General features: G+C 39.3%; 1 protein-coding gene and 2 pseudogenes across 53 annotated transcripts in view, besides 1 other annotated feature; 1 reads left to right on the top strand and 2 right to left on the bottom strand.

The window, feature by feature from the left end:
* NCOR1 (nuclear receptor corepressor 1) overlaps positions 1–19,661 on the top strand; it is a 186,378-nt gene that overhangs the window by 112,056 nt on the left and 54,661 nt on the right. For 23 of the 53 annotated variants that reach the window (NM_001439111.1, XM_047437122.1, XM_005256871.6 and 20 more), the window contains 5 exons: positions 1,674–2,229; positions 4,983–5,112; positions 11,421–11,616; positions 16,134–16,307; positions 17,037–17,197. In NM_001439111.1, the coding sequence (NP_001426040.1) occupies positions 1,674–2,229; positions 4,983–5,112; positions 11,421–11,616; positions 16,134–16,307; positions 17,037–17,197 (1,217 nt within the window). Of the gene's footprint in view, positions 1–1,673; positions 2,230–4,982; positions 5,113–11,420; positions 11,916–16,133; positions 16,308–17,036; positions 17,198–19,661 lie in introns of those variants that run through there. The other 30 variants (XM_011524086.4, NM_001439115.1, NM_001439114.1 and 27 more) reach the window with 4 other exon arrangements.
* On the bottom strand, positions 4,672–4,775 carry RNU6-314P (RNA, U6 small nuclear 314, pseudogene; annotated as a pseudogene).
* Positions 7,923–8,777: an enhancer, noted in NCBI's record as "H3K27ac hESC enhancer chr17:15998016-15998870 (GRCh37/hg19 assembly coordinates)". NCBI's record gives its function as "activates a minimal SCP1, AML or CMV promoter by ChIP-STARR-seq in naive H9 embryonic stem cells {active_cell/tissue: H9 hESC(naive)}" and the evidence as "EXISTENCE:reporter gene assay evidence [ECO:0000049][PMID:30033119]".
* On the bottom strand, positions 19,038–19,475 carry RPL22P21 (ribosomal protein L22 pseudogene 21; annotated as a pseudogene).

Here is a 19,661-nt window from a genome sequence, read left to right as displayed (position 1 = left end):
AATGGGGGTCCACTGAAAAGTTATGAGAGTGAGAGAGTGAGTTATTGTGGTAAAATCTGGCTTTTAAAAAGACAACTCTATCTTTGTTGTAAAGAATGGTCTGAAGTGGAGTGAAGAGAGTTGGTTTTGGACTAGAGTGCTAGCTGTGAAGTTGAACAGGATTGGATAGATTCAAGAGAAATTTTTAGAGAGAAAATCAGTGAGCCTTGTCAAGGCTGGATATGGGGTAAATGAGAAGAGGGTTTAAAAGATGACTTCTTGGTCTCTGTTTTGTTTAATTGGATAGTAAACCCTAGAAAAGAATCTGATTTGCGAGTGGTTATTACAACTCTAGTACAGGACATACTGAATTTGTGCTGCCTTTGATATATCTAGGTAAAGATGTCAAAAAGCACTGAAAGTCTATTTATAGAACAATATAAACGATTATAGAACAATATAAACGATATGGGGAAAGATCTGTTACAACATTAAATTAAAAATCTGTGAAATAGTATTCTACAGCCTTCTGTCCAGTGTGGTAGCCGCTAGACACTTGTGGCTATTGAGCACTTGAAATTTGGCTAGTTTAAATTTAGATATGCAGGCTGGGTGCGGTGGCCTATGTCTGTAATCCCAGCACTTTGGGAGGCCAAGGCAGGCGGATCACCTGACGTCAGGAGTTCAAGACCAGCCTGGGCAACATGGTGAAACCCCATCTCTACTAAAAATACAAAAATTAGCCGGGCATGGTGCCAGGCACCTATAATCCCAGCTACTCAGGAGGCTGAGGCACAAGAATCGCTGGAACCTGGGAGGCGGAGGCTGCAGTGAGCCAAGAAAGCACCACTGCAGTCCAGCCTGGGTGACAGAGCGAGACTCTGCCTCCAAAAAAAAAAAATTAGATATGCAGAAAATGTAAAATGCACACCAGATTTTGAAGATTTAGTACCCAAAAAAAGGAAAAATAATCTTATGATTTTTTGCTATTGATCACATGTTAAAATGATATTTCACATATACTGGGTTAATTAAATAAATTCTACAAAATTAGCTAGGCATGGTGGCACACACCTGTAAATCCAGCTACTTGGGAGGCTGAGGCAGGAGAATCGCTTGAACCCAGGAGGCGGAGGTTGCAGTGAGCCGAGATCGCACCATTGCACTCCAGCCTGGGTAACAAGAGCAAAACCCCATCTCCAAAAAATTAAAAATTAAAAAAAAAGTTTAAATTATTTGACCAATTTCTTCTTACTTTTTTAATGTGACCATCAGAAAAATTAAAATTACAGATGTGATTACATTATATGTCTATTGGATGGAGCCGTTCTAGAGTGTCAGTTCAGCTGGGTAAAAGGAAATTCACAGGAAGAGGCTTCTAGAAATACACCAGAATGTCATCATTTATAGGAATGTTTTTTGTTTAGTTTTATTGTTCGTTCTTTTTCAATTTCATATAAATTATTTTCAGACATTAAAATCCTTTATGCTTTTAGTTTCAGAAGGTCAAGATAATTTGATCTTTCACTTTTATACTCTGTAGGAAACTTTAGCCTTCTCAATGGCTGTAAATACTTCAATGAGGTCATCAAAGGAGTAGAATTCATCCTAAACAACTACTTTCAAACATGGTTTCTATCACCACCTGAAACATGTTCATTATCAGATTTTTATGCTGTATCATTATCTTTAAGGTGCAGAAAATAGTTCTGATACAGAAAGTGCTCCTTCTCCTTCACCAGTTGAAGCTGTCAAGCCCAGCGAGGACAGTCCTGAAAATGCTACTTCTCGAGGAAACACAGAACCTGCGGTTGAGCTTGAGCCCACCACGGAAACTGCACCCAGTACATCTCCCTCCTTAGCAGTTCCAAGTACAAAACCAGCTGAAGATGAAAGTGTGGAGACCCAGGTGAATGACAGCATCAGTGCTGAGACAGCAGAGCAGATGGATGTAGATCAGCAGGAGCACAGTGCTGAAGAGGGTTCTGTTTGTGATCCCCCACCCGCTACCAAAGCTGACTCTGTGGACGTTGAAGTGAGGGTGCCAGAAAACCATGCATCTAAAGTTGAAGGTGATAATACCAAAGAAAGAGACTTGGATAGAGCCAGTGAGAAGGTGGAACCTAGAGATGAAGATTTGGTGGTAGCTCAGCAAATAAATGCCCAAAGGCCCGAGCCCCAGTCAGACAATGATTCCAGTGCCACGTGCAGCGCTGATGAGGATGTGGATGGAGAGCCAGAGAGGCAGAGGTGAGGCTCGTTCCATAAGTCCTCCCCGTGCTTACTCTGCTGGTTGGTGACTGAATCACAGGGTGGTGCTGGCTGCAGACATGTCTCCTATGTAAATATTGGCACGTTATAGGTAGTCTGTACAATTTTAATATTGGGCTGATACTGTTCTGTTTAAATAACCACAAACTATTGTATGATCATTTTAATGAAACAGATTATACATTTCTCCTATATCTGTCTTGTTACGTGTATTCTGTATGATAGCATAACAGGGAATTTCAACTAATAAAGTTGTGAATAAACCACAGATAACTGTTGTGCCTGAGGAGGGCAGCAGTGGGATGTGGTAGAAGAAGGTGGAGGCTAGAGGCATTGAGGCACTCCCGCTTCTCTAAGGCAGTGCAACCTCAAAACAAGGCCTACCAGCCCCTACTTATTAGGTAGAAGAAAATGCTGAAAAGAGAGACATGTTCAGTGTTCTGAAAATTTTTAGAAAGCATAATTTAAATGCAAAGTAATGATAATTATGACCACTTTTTTGTATCAGTTAACATTTTAGATTGTTCATATTTGTAATTTAAAATATCAGGTATAATGCAGATTAATTTACAAGTTTTTTTTCTTTTTTTGAGACGGAGTCTCGTTCTTCCCCAGGCTGGAGTGCAATGACACGATCTCGGGTCACTGCATCCTCCACCTCTTGAGTTCACGTGATTCTCCTGCCTCAGCCTTCTGAGTAGCTGGGACTACAGGCACACGCCACCATGCTTGGCTAATTTTTGTATTTTTAGTAGAGATGGGGTTTTGCCGTGTTGGCCAGGCTGGTCTCAAACTCCTGACCTCAGGTGATCCACCCATCTCAGCCTCCCAAAGTGCTGGAATTACAGGCATGAGCCACCGCTCCCTGCAGTTTACAGGTAGCTTTAGTCATTAAAGGTTAATTAATTATACAAAAAATGTATCATATCTTTATGGTTTTTGTAAAAATTACAGTAAAAGATATATATTTTACAGGTACAGTTATTACTTTATTTAATATATTTTATTTCCTGGTGTTTCCTTTTCCTTAAAAGACATTGAATCACTTATAATTTTAGTAGAATGATAAATTGGTGCAAATTCTAGAAGTGAATTAGACTGAAACATCACTTAATCCGAACCCAATTAAACCCCACTCCTTTTTTTTCTTTTTAATAAGAATAAAGAGACAAGCTACTCAACAGATAGCTAAATTCTCTTCAAAGTTTATCTTTCAGAGTGTGTCTTGGTGTCACTGTATTTTCAGTTCATATCCAATATATTTTATATCTTATGTACTCCATAATGAGATTTGATACTAGAATAATAATATGGAGCATTATAGTGCTGATTCCTCAGAGTGTTTTATATAGTAGATGCTAGAATTTTCATCAGCATGAATTGAAATAAAATAGGTGTTCTGCTTAAGTGTTGGTTTACCAGAAAATTTGACTATCACTCTTTTTCTTTCACCTCAGAGTAATCTAGATTTTATTTTAATGGTGTCAGTCTTTAACTGCAGTAAACATAAATGGATTCAAGCTGTGTAGTCCCTTTTTAAGCATTCCTTATTGAAACATCTCATCTAAATAAGGATTATCTGTGTTTTGCACTGTTGGTTTTGGTAACTATACGTGAAGGAAAAATTAGGTAGGATGGCAGTAATTTTAAATGGTAAACATCCTAAGAGATGAACATGATAGTAGTTTTGAAATTCAGAAATTCCTTGGAAAAATATGATGGTTTCTTAATGACACACTAAAGTCTACACTGCTCCCAAATGACCGAAATAACACTTTCAATTTCCTATAGCTTTAATATAATCTTTCTTTATATAGTATGTGAATTGTTTTTTTAAATACATTCTGATTTTCTTACCAATTTCTACATTTTTAAATGTTCACCTTCCCCCAGTGACCATGACAACACTGGGAAATATGACCAGGCCCATAAAGCATGACACTAGTACAAAATTTCCTCAAGTTTATATATTGGGCATCCTAAACTTGAGTGTAGGTATGGGCAACATCAGCCGGTGGAGTGTGAGATGGCAGGGACTATGGTGAGCAGAGGAGTGTGTGCTCATGTGAGCGGGGTGGCGGCTGCTGGATGCATGGCAGGTCGCTGCTGTTGGGGAGTGCTGATTTCATGTTGTTGGTTCTTTCCATTTTTCATGAGAAGCCAGAGGTCTGGAATTTTGGATGAAATTTTCAGTTTAAAAATCACAGCAGCTTATTCAAATATTTAAAAAAATACTCTGTGATCCCAATAAAACATCCTCTAACAGGTAACTAGTTTTTAACCCATGTTAGGATATTTGTGGTAAATTAGGACTGAACAGTTTTAAATGGACTTCGTTTAGATTGTTTTGTTGGTTAGATATAGACAATACAGATAAATTTCAACCTGTAAGTCAGTATTAGGTTTCTTTTTTCTTTTCTTTCTAATATAAAATGCTTTGCAAATTTGCATGTTTTTCTTGCACAGGGGCCATGGTAATCTTTGTATCATTTCAATTTTAGTATGTGCGCTGCTGAAGTGAGTACGATATTCAGTTTCTTTATCTGGAAAATCAGCTTTGTAGGTTCCTTTTTCCTTAACTGTCCAAATATTTTATATGGGTTAATATATGTGTGTCCATGTGTCCATGTGTGCATGTGTATGTACATACTAACTTAGAAGAACTTATAGTGATTATATGTTTGAGTCTTAAAAATGTATTCATTTATCTTTTTTTTAAATTGCAATTGCAGAATGTTTCCTATGGACTCAAAGCCTTCACTGTTAAACCCCACTGGATCTATACTCGTCTCATCTCCGTTAAAACCAAATCCACTGGATCTGCCACAGCTTCAGCATCGAGCTGCTGTTATCCCACCAATGGTAAGTTTTTATTGTGAGGAAGAAAACTAAATATGAAAAACTGAGACCTTTATAGACATATTTCTTCTGTTCTTTAATTGGTTCTTGATTAAAAAAATAGTGGTACAAAACATAACATGAAATTAATAATCGTAACCAATTCTAAGTATACAGTTCACTCGTGTTAAGTGTGTTAAGTATATTGACATTGTTTAGAAAATGATCCCCAGGACCTTTTCATCTTTCGAATGCGAAATTAATTAAACAACTCCTCTCTTCCTCCTGCCGCTTGCCACTGGTAACCACTGTTCTGCTTTCTGGTTCTATGAATTTAACACACAGTTTAGATACCAATGAACTGTTCTTTCCCACAATACTTACTATACCAAATGTATGGGCTTTTTCCTCACACCAACGAATTCTCCACCTCTTTGGTCACCAACTAGGTTCCTACAGTTCAGTTCAATTCGGACACCAACTACCTGGCGTAATCATCTAATACCACAAGTGTAAGGGCTCAGTACCACAAGGCTACCCCCATTTCTGATGCCAGTTCTATAGGTATTGGGTCCCCAGGTTACTCACGCTTCTGACTAGGCTGCAGACTGGGGATTCCTCCGACTCTCCTCGTCAGGTTCCATAATTTGCTAAAATGCCTCAGAGAACTTAGGAAAATGCTTTACTTATAATTACTAGTTCATTATAAGGGATATAACTCAGAAACAGCCAAATGGAAGAGATGGATCGGGCAAGGTGTGCAGAAGGGGTGTGGAGCTTCTGTCTCCTATCTAGGTCTGCCTCCCTCCCAGCAACTCCACGTGTTCACCAGCCTGGAAACTCTTAAAACCCCATCATTTGGGGTTTTTATGAAGGCCTCATCACATAGGTATGAATGATTAAATCATTGGCCATTGGTGATGGGTGCATGAACCTTTAGCCCCTCTCCTCTCCCTGGAGGGTTGGGGGTGGGGTGAGCTGGATGGAGCTGAAAGTTCCAGCCCTTGCTGGGCATGGTGGTGCCCAACAGTACTCCCAGCCCTGTATTCCCAGCTATTTGGGAGGCTGAGGCAAGAGGATTGCAAGTTCAAACCCAGTCTGGGCAAAATATTAAGAGACATCCTACCCCAATCCCCAAAGAAGTTCTAGCCTCCTGCCTTGTGGTTTTTTGGGCTGTCAGCCCTTATCCTGAGGCAATCTAGAGGCCCCAGCCAGGAGTCATCTTGTTAGCATACAAAAGACACTCTTACTGCTCTGGAAATTCTAAGGATTTGGAACAAAAAAAGTCTTTGGGAGAAGGACCAAATATTTAATTTTTATTGTGCCACATTATGTCATATAAATGAAATCATACAGTATTTGTCATTTTGTGATAGGCTTATTTCACTCAGCATAATGTCCTCCAGGTATACTTAGCAGGTGCCAGAATTTCTTTATTTTTAAAGGCTGAATAATACTCCATTGTATCTGTATATCACATTTTATTCATTCATCCATTCATAGACATTTGGATTGCTTCCACCTCTGGACTATTGTGACTAGTACCTGTATGGTCAGCCCTTGATTTTAGCACCTTGGTTTTTCTTACATCCTCTTGTGCTGGGCTTGGGTTAGGGAGTGCTAAGACATATGGGAGAGAAGGGTAGGAAGATGCTGAGTCTAACTTTGAGTAAACTCTTTGAGATAACCAAAGGTTATATCCTTAGTACATTGCTTTTTCAAATGACTTGTGATGATTGATTGAAACGGTCATTTCCAGTTAAGAAAAAAAAAGAAATATAATGCTCTAGCCATAAATATTAGTAAGTCCTGTTTTTGTTTGTAACCACAGCACTAAGGAGCCATAAAACAGTAGTAGCATTAAGCATGTAATTAGGTTTTGAATAGTTAGAATAAATTGTAGAGATTATGGCTAACTCCAGTATACAATTTCAAGTCTAGTTTATTTTTATATTTTACCTTAATAATCTACAGATTTCAAGTATATTTTATTTATATTTTACCTTAATAATCTGTAAAATTTGACTCATTTTTGATACTGAATTCCAATCTTGGGTATTGTTCTTTTCTTTATTTTATTTTTTTTTTATTGATCATTCTTGGGTGTTTCTCGCAGAGGGGGATTTGGCAGGGTCATAGGACAACAGCGGAGGGAAGGTCAGCAGACAAACAAGTGAACAAAGGTCTCTGGTTTTCCTAGGCAGAGTGTTTGTGTCCCTGGTACTTGAGATTGGGGAGTGGTGATGACTCTCAACGAGTATGCTGCCTTCAAGCATCTGTTTAACAAAGCACATCTTGCACCACCCTTAATCCATTTAACCCTGAGTGGACACAGCACATGTTTCAGAGAGCACAGGGTTGGGGGTAAGGTCATAGATCAACAGGATCCCAAGGCAGAAGAATTTTTCTTAGTACAGAACAAAATGAAAAGTCTCCCATGTCTACTACTTTCTACACAGACACAGCAACCATCCGATTTCTCAATCTTTTCCCCACCTTGCCCCCTTTTCTATTCCACAAAACCGCCATCGTCATCATGGCCCGTTCTCAATGAGCTGTTGGGTACCTCCTCCCAGACGGGGTGGTGGCCGGGCAGAGGGGCTCCTCACTTCCCAGTAGGGGCAGCCGGGCAGAGGCGCCCCTCACCTCCCAGACGGGGCGGCTGGCCGGGCGGGGGGCTGACTCCCCCACCTCCCTCCCGGACGGGGCGGCTGACCCCCCCCCCCACCTCCCTCCCGGACGGGGCGGCTGGCCGGGCAGAGGGGCTCCTCACTTCCCAGTAGGGGCGGCCGGGCAGAGGCGACCCTCACCTCCTGTACGGGGCGGCTGGCCGGGCGGGGGGCTGACCCCCCAACCTCCCTCCCGGATGGGGCGGCTGGCCGGGCAGGGGGCTGACCCCCCTACCTCCCTCCCGGACGGGGCGGCTGGCCGGGCGGGGGGCTGACCCCCCACCTCCCTCCCGGATGGGGCGGCTGGCCTGGCGGGGGCTGACCCCCCACCTCCCTCCCGGGCGGGGTGGCTGCCGGGCGGAGACGCTCCTCACTTCCCAGACGGGGTGGCAGCCGGGCAGAGGGTCTCCTCACTTCTCAGACGGGGCGGCCGGGCAGAGACGCTCCTCACCTCCCAGACGGGGTCGCGGCCGGGCCGAGGTGCTCCTCACATCCCAGACGGGGCGGCGGGGTAGAGGCGCTCCCCACATCTCAGACGATGGGCGGCCGGGCAGAGACGTTCCTCACTTCCTAGATGGGATGGCGGCCGGGAAGAGGCGCTGCTCACTTCCCAGGTGGGATGGCGGCCGGGCAGAGACGCTCCTCACTTTCCAGACTGGGCAGCCAGGCAGAGGGGCTCCTCACATCCCAGACGGTGGGCGGCCAGGCAGAGACGCTCCTCACTTCCCAGACGGGGTGGCGGCCGGGCAGAGGCTGCAATCTCTGCACTTTGGGGGGCCAAGGCAGGCGGCTGGGAGGTGGAGGTTGTAGCGAGCCGAGATCACGCCACTGCACTCCAGCCTGGGCACCATTGAGCACTGAGTTAACGAGACTCCATCTGCAATCCCGGCACCTCAGAATGCCGAGGCTGGTGGATCACTCGCGGTTAGGAGCTGGAGACCAGCCCAGCCAACACAGCGAAACCCCGTCTCCACCAAAAAAATACGAAAACCAGTCAGGCGTGGCGGCGCGCGCCTGCAATCGCAGGCACTCGGCAGGCTGAGGCAGGAGAATCAGGCAGGGAGGTTGCAGTGAGCCGAGATGGCAGCGGCACAGTCCAGCTTTGGCTCGGCATGAGAGGGAGACCATGGAAAGGGGAGGAGAGAGGGGAGAGGGGAGAGGGGAGGGGAGCCGGAGTCACTCTTGTTTGAACACCTCCAACACTCTCAATTTTTCTTTAGGCACCAGAAAATGACCTTGTTCTTTTCTTTAGTTATTTTCTATTTATTCAAATATTTAAAGCTCTTGCTTTATTCAAAAATGTGTTTTCTATCTCAAATAATAAGTGGTAAAAGTTTTTAATTGTGTACTTACCACAAAAAGATCATTAAACATTTGTTCATTCACTGACTCATTCAAATGGACATTTATTGAGTGATTAGTTTAAGATAATGTTCTTAATATTGTGGAGAGTATTTATATATTATAGCCTCTGATTTCAAAAAACGTATGGACCGGTCTGCATAATAAGGCAAAGAGGCTGGGCGTGGTGGCTCACGCCTGTAATCCCAACACTTTTGGGAGGCCGAGGTGGGTGGATCACTTGACCGCAGGAGTTCCAAGACCAGCTTGGGCAACATAGCGAAACCCTGTCTCTCCAAAAAAAAACAAAAAAAAATTAGCTCCGCATGGTGCCATGCGCCTGTGGTTGGGAGGCTGAGGTGGAAGGATTCCTTGAGCTCGAGAGTTTGAGGTTGTGGTGAGGTGAGATGGCACCACTGCACTCTAGCCTGGGTGAAAAAGCGAGACACTGTCTCAAAAAAAAGGCATTAAAAAAAATTATCGTAAAGGTTAAAATGAATTAAAATGCGATGCTCTATTAGGTTAAAAAATACTATGGATGTTTTGGAGAAGAGGGAGTGTCTTCTTAATTAGACACTTACAGAAGACTGCATAAGAAATAATATTTTCATTGGATCAAAACAGCTCATTTGGCGTTATAGCAAAAGGAGGAAAAGCTATGTTTATATGGAAGACAAAGCACAAAGGCAAGAAAGTTATGGGTTTTAGGATCAGTGAATAATACTACTTACGCTAGGGGAAAAACTATGGAAGTCTTAAGTTACCAGATTCTAAAAAAAAGTCAGACCTCTAGGGCTTTCTAGGGATATTTGTTATTCATGAGGTATTTAATCCTGGACTGTGTTCTGGGCTATTTTTTTAAGTATTGGACAAAACATCTTGGGTTATTTTCTTCATAAAGTCAGAGAGACAGAAAAATAAAACAGTTTCAAACTGGCAAATACTGTGTACTGTGAAAGCAGTGAACAGGCCTCAATGAGAAGGAAAACAGGGAGGGTATCACCATGTTTTATTGGATGGTTATGGATGGCCTATCTTAAGGAACAGTCCATTTCTATCCTAAGGGAATGGCTATGTGAATGAGTTGGTTGTGGGAGAGGAGGAGATTAATTAGTCAAGGATGGCTGCCAGGTTTCTGGCTGAAGCACCTGGGGTTCCATGTCTAAAATGGAGAGCAACTGAAGAAGAATGGAGTTTCAAAAATGGGAAGTTCCCTTTAACATAAGTTCTGAGCTTCCTTGAGATATCCCAAGTGGAGTTGTTAGGTAGGCCATTTTATGTAAGTGTGGAACTTGGAGAAAGTGTCTTGAGGAAGTAGAAAATTTGTGAATCATTAACAAATGGATGACATTTAAATCAACATAAATGGATGTGATCTGCCAGGCACGGTGGCTCATACCTGTAATTCCAGCATTTCGGGAGGCTGAGGTGAGTGGATCACTTGAGGCCAGGAGTTCGAGACCAGCCTGGCCAACATGGCGAAACCCCTTCGCTACTAAAAAAAAAATAGAAAAATTAGTTGGGTGTGGTGGTGCACACCTGTAATCCCAGCTACTTGGGAGGCTGAGGCAGGATAATTGCTTGAACCCGGGAGGTGGACGTTGCAGCGAGCCAAGATTGCACCATTGCACTGCAGCCTGGGCAACAGAGTGAGACTATGTCTTAAAAAAAAAAAAAAAAAAAAATATATATATATATATATATATATATATATATATATATATATATATATAAATGGATCTGATCCCTGGTGAAAGAGAGATGAGGGATGGGACCTAGGGCCACAAGGGACTTGGCTGCCATAAATTAGAATCAGACAGATGTGTTGTAATTTCTGATTTTTGATTTCTGTTATTACAGCTTGTGTGATTTATATTGTGATCAGTTCTGAAAGAAAACTAGGTCTTGCTGTGTTGCCCAGGCTGGAGTGCAGTGGTGCAATCTCAGCCCACTGCAACCTCTGCCTCCCAGGCTCAAGTGATTCTCATGTGTCAGCCTCCCGAGTAGCTGGGACTACAGGCATGCCTCACTGCACCCAGCTAAATTTTTGTATTTTTGGTACAAAGATACAAAATACCAGCCAGGCTGGTCTTGAACTCCCGACCTCAGGTGATCTGCCTGCCTCGGCCTCCCAAAGTGATGGGATTACAGGCATGAGCCACTGCAATGCCTTAAGCATTATTCTTGAAGATAACTTTGATTAAAAAATGATAAAATCAATTCAACCAATAACATGACAGAAATAAGCATTACATTACTTGTTAAGAGATGGCAATTATTACATTGGTTGTTTGCATATTTCGATTTATTTTCTTCCTATAGGTATCCTGCACCCCATGTAACATACCAATTGGAACCCCAGTGAGCGGCTATGCTCTCTACCAGCGACACATTAAAGCAATGCATGAGTCAGCACTCCTGGAGGAGCAGCGGCAGAGACAAGAACAGATAGATTTGGAATGTAGAAGTTCTACAAGTCCATGTGGCACATCCAAGAGTCCAAACAGAGAGTGGGAAGGTAGGTAGATAGAGCTATCACCAAGAGAACTTTTATGAAGGGAAATAAAGCTAAACCCAAAAGCAGTGTCCATTGTGCTTTGTAAGTTGTCAGCCTCCCAACTGATTATTATATTTGTCCTAACAGACACAGTTCCTTAAATTGACCTTAAACTATGAAGAAATGTTAGTATTATTAACTACTAAAGGATGCCAGTAACATTTTTAATAGCATTCTAGTTAATGTGAATTTTCTGATATTCATCTTTGTGCTGGAAGACATTATAAATAAAGTTATGCTTTATGTTCCGTTCATCTGAATTTTCAGAGTGAGAATTGTTGTCCTGTCCTTGAAGCAAATCACCTTCAAGTATTACAGTGTAATATTCACATTCTCTGGTAGATGAGAGACACAACTTTGTGTAGTGGATATTTCCAATCAGACGCTGGCTAAGCCTTCACCTTGGCATTTGCCAGCTGTGTGGCCACAGGCAAGTCACTTAACCTTTCATAGCTTTAGTTTTCTCATCTGTAAAATGAAAATAATAGTACACGTCTACCTTGCTGTGGTTGTAAAGTTAAGGAAGGAGCATTCGGTATTGTTATATAACAGGTGGCTCTGCATTATTTTATGTATAATGTAGCACGTTATTACATATTAATTAGTGTATTAGTACTGTATATACACAGTAGATACTATGGAGGTACCTGTTTTCATTGTTACATCACTGTTTTTATTTCAAGTGATGGATTTGAGTTGGTCCGTTGCTGTTTTAGTTGGTGTGTGATACACTTTTACTTTCTTTAAAAAAAGAAGAAAGGGGTGGTTTTTATGTTTTAATACATTCTTCTGACATGGTTAGAAGAATTGGCACATGTTTCTGGTTAAGAATGAGTTTATAGTCTACTTATATGCTACGATATGCTTAGAATATCAGAATACTGAAATAGTCTGAATGATTCAGAAGATTCTTTACAGTACTTTATTTAGCTAAATAAGAGCTATTAGCTTTACAATGCCATGCATTCCAAGGGTTATTTAATATAAAATAGGAACTGTGGTACTTAACTGATCCTGCTGACTCTGCCCAGATCACACCAATATTGAGTTATTAGTTGCCTAATACACTGAACCTCTTATGTTAGAGTTTTAAATTTAAACTTGTTAATTTTTAAACATAAATCTTGTGCTAGGAAAAATGTGAACCAGAATGATAATATCCACCAAGGAATATAAAAGGCGCTAAATGAATATTTCCTTGAATGAAGGTAGAAATATTGATAACTTTTAGGCTTTTACTCTGTTGGGTCTAGGGAATTCTTAATCGCTAGTTCTGTAATTGACACAACATGTACTCAGTAATTACACCTTAAAGGAATGAATTATAAATGAATGACATAATGGAGATATCCTTATCGTGTTTCACTACAGGGTATTAATGGACATCGCAGGTGTTTGTCTTTTGAACATTCGAATTATGAGGAAATCCGTCAGTGGAAAATGAAACTTTAGAGAATAAAAGTCTCTGGATGTATTCCTTACATTTATTATTTAGGATAGATTTTGTGAAGAAGTAGTAAAAGTTAGAAAAATGACATTCAGATGGTATCATTTGTTGAACTTATGACAAGGCATAACATCATTGTTAGTAATATCTGGGTCATTTAAATATGGATATCATAATTTTAAAGCCTCAATATCTTTTATTGGTCTGCTTTATAAAATGAGTTGTATTTGGGAACTGAAGAAACTGAACCAGGCTGGAGCCCCAAATTCTGAGACTCCAAACTGTGAATTGTATTTCTCTGTGTTAGTCACATTACTACACGTGGTTTAGATCTCAGTGGTATCCTAATTTTTAATCATAATTCAGTCATCTTAAAATCAAATTGTAATTATACTTTTGATTAGTATGACATTAAGAATTTTACAGTTTGGTCGAAGGTGATGCTCTACAAAGTAGGGCAAGTTTATCCAAAGGTTGTTTTGTTTTAGCTAATCTCCCTAGTGTATTCATCCTGTAATTTGTTTAACAAGTACCAGAAGTTTTTCCTTGAGTCTATCCTGTAGTTCAGTGTATAGGATAACCTTTCAAATAACATTTAAATGTTTGCAGTTAAGATGCTTGTGTCTAGAATGTTTGACAAAAATGGTTTAAATTTAACCTCATAGAACAGTTTATAGAATGTGAAGAATAGTGATAGTATGGATTTATGTATAAAGTATCACCAAATATTGGTACAGTCCACCTGAATTAGGGCCATGGTTTTTACTTTTCCCTTCATGGTCTCTTTTAGCAAGTAACAGGCAGCACTTGTTGTCCAACTATTTGGTTGTATTTATTTCTCTTAATGTGAATGGTATAAATAATTACTGTAGGTATGCCTGTTTTAAGTTGCTTAAAGCTTTTCCCATCTGTAGAAAAGGTTGAAAAAAAACCTTAGAGAATTGTTTTCACTTACCAGTAACATTTATACGAGTTGACCTCTGCTTTACTGATAACTTTTAAGCCTCTTTTCTACAGTGAAGGAACTCAAACTTAAGCATATGGAGGTAGAGTTAGAATTGAACTTCTAATGCAAATTTAACAAAATTATCCAATTAAAATAAGAGTTAATGCTTCTATGTAACTGACCCTAGTTTGTTGCATGTTTATTTTGTTGCTGTTGCTGTTTTTCTTTTCCTGCTCTGGGTACATGGTGATGTAGATAGCTGTGTTTAGAACCATCCAATTTCCATCATTTAAAAAAAAAAAAAAACCACTACTATGACCAGTGGATTTTTTTTTTTAAACATAGTTATAAACTTACTGGAAATGGTAAAATAATCAGACATTGGATTTTTAATACATTATCATATTAAATTATCTAGGAAAGTGATTTTCTTTTGGAGTTGGTTATTTCATAAATCTGTTTTCTCAGTATTAGGACACTTACTCTAATTCATTATATTAATATGTCAAAGAAGGAAAAAGTACCATCGTCTTGATGGATACACCAGAGACATCTGAAATTCCACACCCAGTCCTTTAGTGAGACACTATTGCACTGTGGTTTAGAGCTAACGGTCCGGAATTATACTGCTTTTAAAAAAATCGCTGGTAGACCTTGATTGGGCAATTAGATGTGATTTTTCTGAGCCTCAGTTTCCTCATCTGTAAAATGGTATTAATAATCACATTGGTCTTGAGGGCTAAATAGATATTGTATGTAATGCACACTGCCTAGCACTTGAATATCAGTTGATATTTTTGTAATTGTTTCTGATTTTTAAAAGCACCTTACAAAAGATAGTGTAGTAAGGAAATAAGAGGTTTAGGTATTTGAAGGGAAAAGACAAATTATTTACAGGATAAGATTATTCACCTAGAAAGCCTAAAAGAATCAACTGAAAAGTTATTAGAGCTAAAAGGAAAGTTCATTAGGTTTTTCAGAAAAAATTATTACACAGAAATCCGCATCTTTCCTGTATGTCTGCAGTAATCAGGTTTATTTATATAAACTCATATATATAAAAGAGATGGTTTTCTTACCAATATGACATATCTAGGAATAATTTTTAACAAGCAAGGGATGGAACTATCTGACAAAAACAAGATTTCTCAACTAGAAAACTCATTATTATAAAATATCATCACCTGTTTATTCATAAATTTAATACAAGTCTAATGAAAATTCTATTTATTCTTTGTTTTGAGAGGAAGTACTCAATGATTTTAAATTTAGATTTACTTGGAAAGATAAATGGATACAACTAGGTAATGAAAATAATAAATAAAATGAGTGGGAATTTATTCTGACAGACATTAAAATGCTACAAATCTAAGTGGTCAGGGTTACAAATGAGTTTTACTTTGTGCTTTTTTGATTTTCAAAAATTACAGATGTTTCATTTTAAAAAGAAACTATATATTTTAAAGTCTTAAATATGACTGCATTTCTGGCGTGCCCTTTAAAATATTTAAAGTTTCTTTATGCTTTATGTGGAGATAACTTACATGAGAAGTAATTTTCATTAGTATTATTGTAGTTATATTCATGGTTTTTATAAGCTTATGTAGGATTTTTGAATTAGTTTGATCTGCATCTTTTGAAAGGCTTCTTCCATTTCTTAATTAAATATATTTCTGTGAATATTAGCAAGGAGTGAGCTTCAACAGGCTAATTATAAGACTTGTGAAATCCTCGCAAAGCTAATAACCTCCAGTCAGGCCAGATTTGAATTAACAGAATTGCTTGATAATCTGATGTTTGCCTGTTGTGATTTTATTGCATGTGAAAACACTTGATTCTCCTTAAGAGGAAAGAGAAGTTCTTTTTCCTTTAAAGGGAAAACTCGTAAATGAATTTTTGAGGATACACAGGAGATTTAGATTTACAGGATTTCTTAACTTCTCTGTGGGTGAATTTTGCCCCCAGGAGTTTTAGACTTTAATGTTATAGTCGGATCAGCCCCTGGATGGTGTGGGCTTGGTCCTTTCACACTTACTATTTTAATTTGGGGTTCTTCCCTTATTTTGATAACTTTAACTTTCATAGGAAAATCAGTCGCCTATATGCCTTATGCTGAGGTCAAACGTGCTCTAGAACAGGAAGCACAGATGCACAATACTGCAGCAAGGTCAGCCTCACCGTGTAGGCTTTCTCCAAGAGAAGTCAGTAAAGCCGCTCCACAGCCTGATATGAGTGCAGCCCGCTATAGTGTCCCGCCAGGTAAATATCACTCCTCTGTGCAGTGGCTGCTGGCCATCCACCCACAGATGTTCCACGTGGGTGGTTTAATCTCGTGAATGAACTGCTCTTCCAGGACGTGTCCTTGCTGTTTCAGAATGACTTTGTTTCTCTGCGTTCCATCATCAGTTGTATTTAGTTGAGTTCACTGGGCCACTGGGAAATTTGTGTTCACACATTTATACTGTGACATTGACTGGCTCTTCCTTTAAGAAGAGTACATGAATTTGTAAAAGTCTTGAGATCTCCCCATCCCCAAAATTCAAGTGTTCTGTGAGAGCCAGAATCAGTAAGTGTTTCTCAATATGCAAGATGCAAAAAGGATGTATAACTGGTTGTCAGTCATGTCTGCGCATTCTCTGAAGTAGTGTTATCAGCTGTTTTTAAGAAGTACCCTAAGAGTGATTGGCGAGAGAGAAAAAATTTTTGAAGACTGATGTTTGCTATGCTAAGCAGAAGTTTGAAATAAGCATCAGCTTGAAAGCTGTGGTTTGAAAGGGAGTTGAATATTTCAACCCCACAAATAGTATTTGTGACAAATATGTATACAGGCTTACGTGAATGAGAAATTTAAAATAGAAATGTTCATTGTTGGTTTCATCTTACATTTTTTAATTAGTGATTTAAAAATTCAGGAATGACTGAGAGAGGTAACATGTTGTAAACTAGGAAATGGACTAGTTTAAAATCATTTTTCTTTCCTTTTAAAAGTCCTTCAGCCTGCTCCACATCAAGTGATAACTAATCTCCCTGAAGGCGTTCGGCTTCCGACAACTCGACCAACCAGGCCACCGCCCCCTCTCATCCCGTCATCCAAAACCACAGTGGCTTCAGAAAAACCATCTTTTATAATGGGAGGCTCCATCTCACAGGTGAAACGACTTCTCTTTACAGTAGATTTCTTGTTGAATATGGCTTTGTTAAAACTTGTCCTCCCTCCTCGCACTGATTTGTCAGAGTTGTAATAAATAATAATCTGTCTGAATATGAAGTTTCAAGAGATAATGACCAGAAGATGCAGCAGTCACTGTACTCTTGCCACAAATCAGAACTTTCAGTGAGTTATGTACCCAGATTGAGTGGTCATAACATACCACCCATTTAATTACACTTGGCACTTGGCATACCACTTGGTTTAATTTACATCACTCTAAACTTACCAAGTTTTAAACTTAGTTTCAAACAGTAGAATATTTGTTCACTAACATATGGTAAAGGCTCAAAATATTAAATTGTAGGTGGTTAGTATTATAATTTATTCTGACTTTGGCCACTAAATCTTTTTTCTGGTTCATTACTTTTTAAAAAATTGAGATATGGTCTGGTCTTCACAGTTCCATCAGTTTTGACTAACTGTACATCAGTGGTCACACCCCTGTCAACTTATTGAACACTTCCATCACTTCAGAAAGTTTTCTCATGTTCCTTCCCAGGCCATCTCCCCTTCCACTGCCTGAAGCAACCACTATTTGATTTCCTGTTGTTGTAGATTAGTTTTGCCTTTTCTAGAACTTCCTGTGAATGGAATCAAACATGGTGTACTCTTTTGTGTCTGTCTTCTTTAACCCAGCATAATGGTTTTAGGGAATTCATCCAGGGTTTTATGTAATCAGTAGTTTCTTCCTTTTTATTGCTGAGTAATACCAGTTTGTTTATCCATTCTCCTGTTGATGAAAACCTGAGCTATTTCCAGTTTTTGGCAGCTATGAATAAAGCTGGTCATTCTTGTAATGGGTTCTTTGTGGACATATGTTTTTATTTTTCTTGTACAATTACCTGGGAGTGGAATTACTAGGTTTGTGTATGTTTTATACTTTTCCAGAATGGTTCTACAATTTTATGCTGCCACTAGCAATGTATGAGACGTGATTGCTCCATTTGCTGTTGTCAAGTCTTGGTCATTTTAGTCATACTTGGTGTGTAGTAATATCTTATTGTGGTTGTATTTTACATTTCCCTGAAAACAAACAATGTTGGGCACTTTTCATGTGCTTATTGGCCATTTGTACACCTATGAAGTGACTATTTAAGTCTGATTATCTGTTTCTACTGGGTCTTTTTGATACTGTGTTGTAGATCTTTATTATGGTTGAAAGTTCTCTGTTAGATATATGTATTACAAATATTTTCTCTGTTTTTTGTCTGTTTATTTTCTTACTGGTATTTTGATGAGAAGTTTCAAATTTTTATATAGTCTAAATATATATACACACTTTTTTCTCCTATGATTAGTTTTATTTTGCTAAGAAATCTTGGCCTGCTCCAAGGTTGTGAGATATTCGCCTGTGTTTTCTTCTGAAAGCTTTATAATTTTGGCTTTTATATTGAGGCATGTGACCAGTCTCAAATTAATTTTTGTGTATAGTATGAGGTCAGGATTAACATTCATCTTTATTTAAATTTCTAGTTGAAAAATAGCACCAGTTGAAACGTCTTTTACTCATTTGATCGCTTCAGTTCCTTTGTTAGAAATCATTTGACAGTATATATGGGTCTGTTTCTGCACTGTCTCCATGCTGTTCCACTGATCTACTTGTTCATCGTTTTGTCAGTACCACAGTCTTGATTACTGTAGCTTTATTGTAAGTCCTGAAATCATGTAGTATAAGTCTTCAGTGTTTTTGTTTTTCAAGATTGTTTTGACTATTTGATGTCTTTTGCATTTTCATATAAATTATATAATCAGCTTATCAATGTCTGTCTCCCCCCTTTTTTTGGTTCCCAAGTTTTATTCAAGAACTCATACAAAACATTCCAGGTAAATGAGTTATAATCCTCATCTTCCTTCTCTTTGTCCTGGTTAATTTGGAAGTAACACAATCCGAAATTCTCTTTGCTATTAGCAGCTACGCACGACCAATCACATAGCTTATTCTTCAGATATTTTTTGATGAGCTATTTCAAATACCCTTTGGAAAAAGGCACCTCAGAAGTTACGGTGCTTGTGTTCTTGCTCCTTTCAATAGTTACTACCCCTCCACCAAGATTCCCAGCTTTTCCATTCACTTTAATTCTGTCTTGGAGAAACTGCTCACAATTGGCAGCATCATCTGCGGGGTAGATCCAGTCAAGGGTATACTTCAGAACCTGCTTTTTTTCTTTTTTTGCCCCCACTTTTTCATGGGCACCTGGCAGCAGCAGAGGCAGAAACAATCTGTTTGTCAGTCTACTTAAAGAAAAAAAATTCTGCTGGGATCTCTTCTCTTCTCTTTTTTTTTCTTTTCTTTCGCCACTTCATTTATTTTATTTGCAGGAGTTGAAACATGTTTTAAGGGTGATGTTTATTTCCCCCCCCAAACATGAATCATTTAAGTAAAACCAACTTAACTGTAGAAA

The sequence above is a fragment of the Homo sapiens genome, chromosome 17 (genome assembly GCF_000001405.40).
Source record: "Homo sapiens chromosome 17, GRCh38.p14 Primary Assembly".
Taxonomy (NCBI): Eukaryota; Metazoa; Chordata; class Mammalia; order Primates; family Hominidae; genus Homo; species Homo sapiens.
Note: the sequence above shows the minus strand (reverse complement) of the source record. Positions and strands in the feature narration are given on the sequence as shown.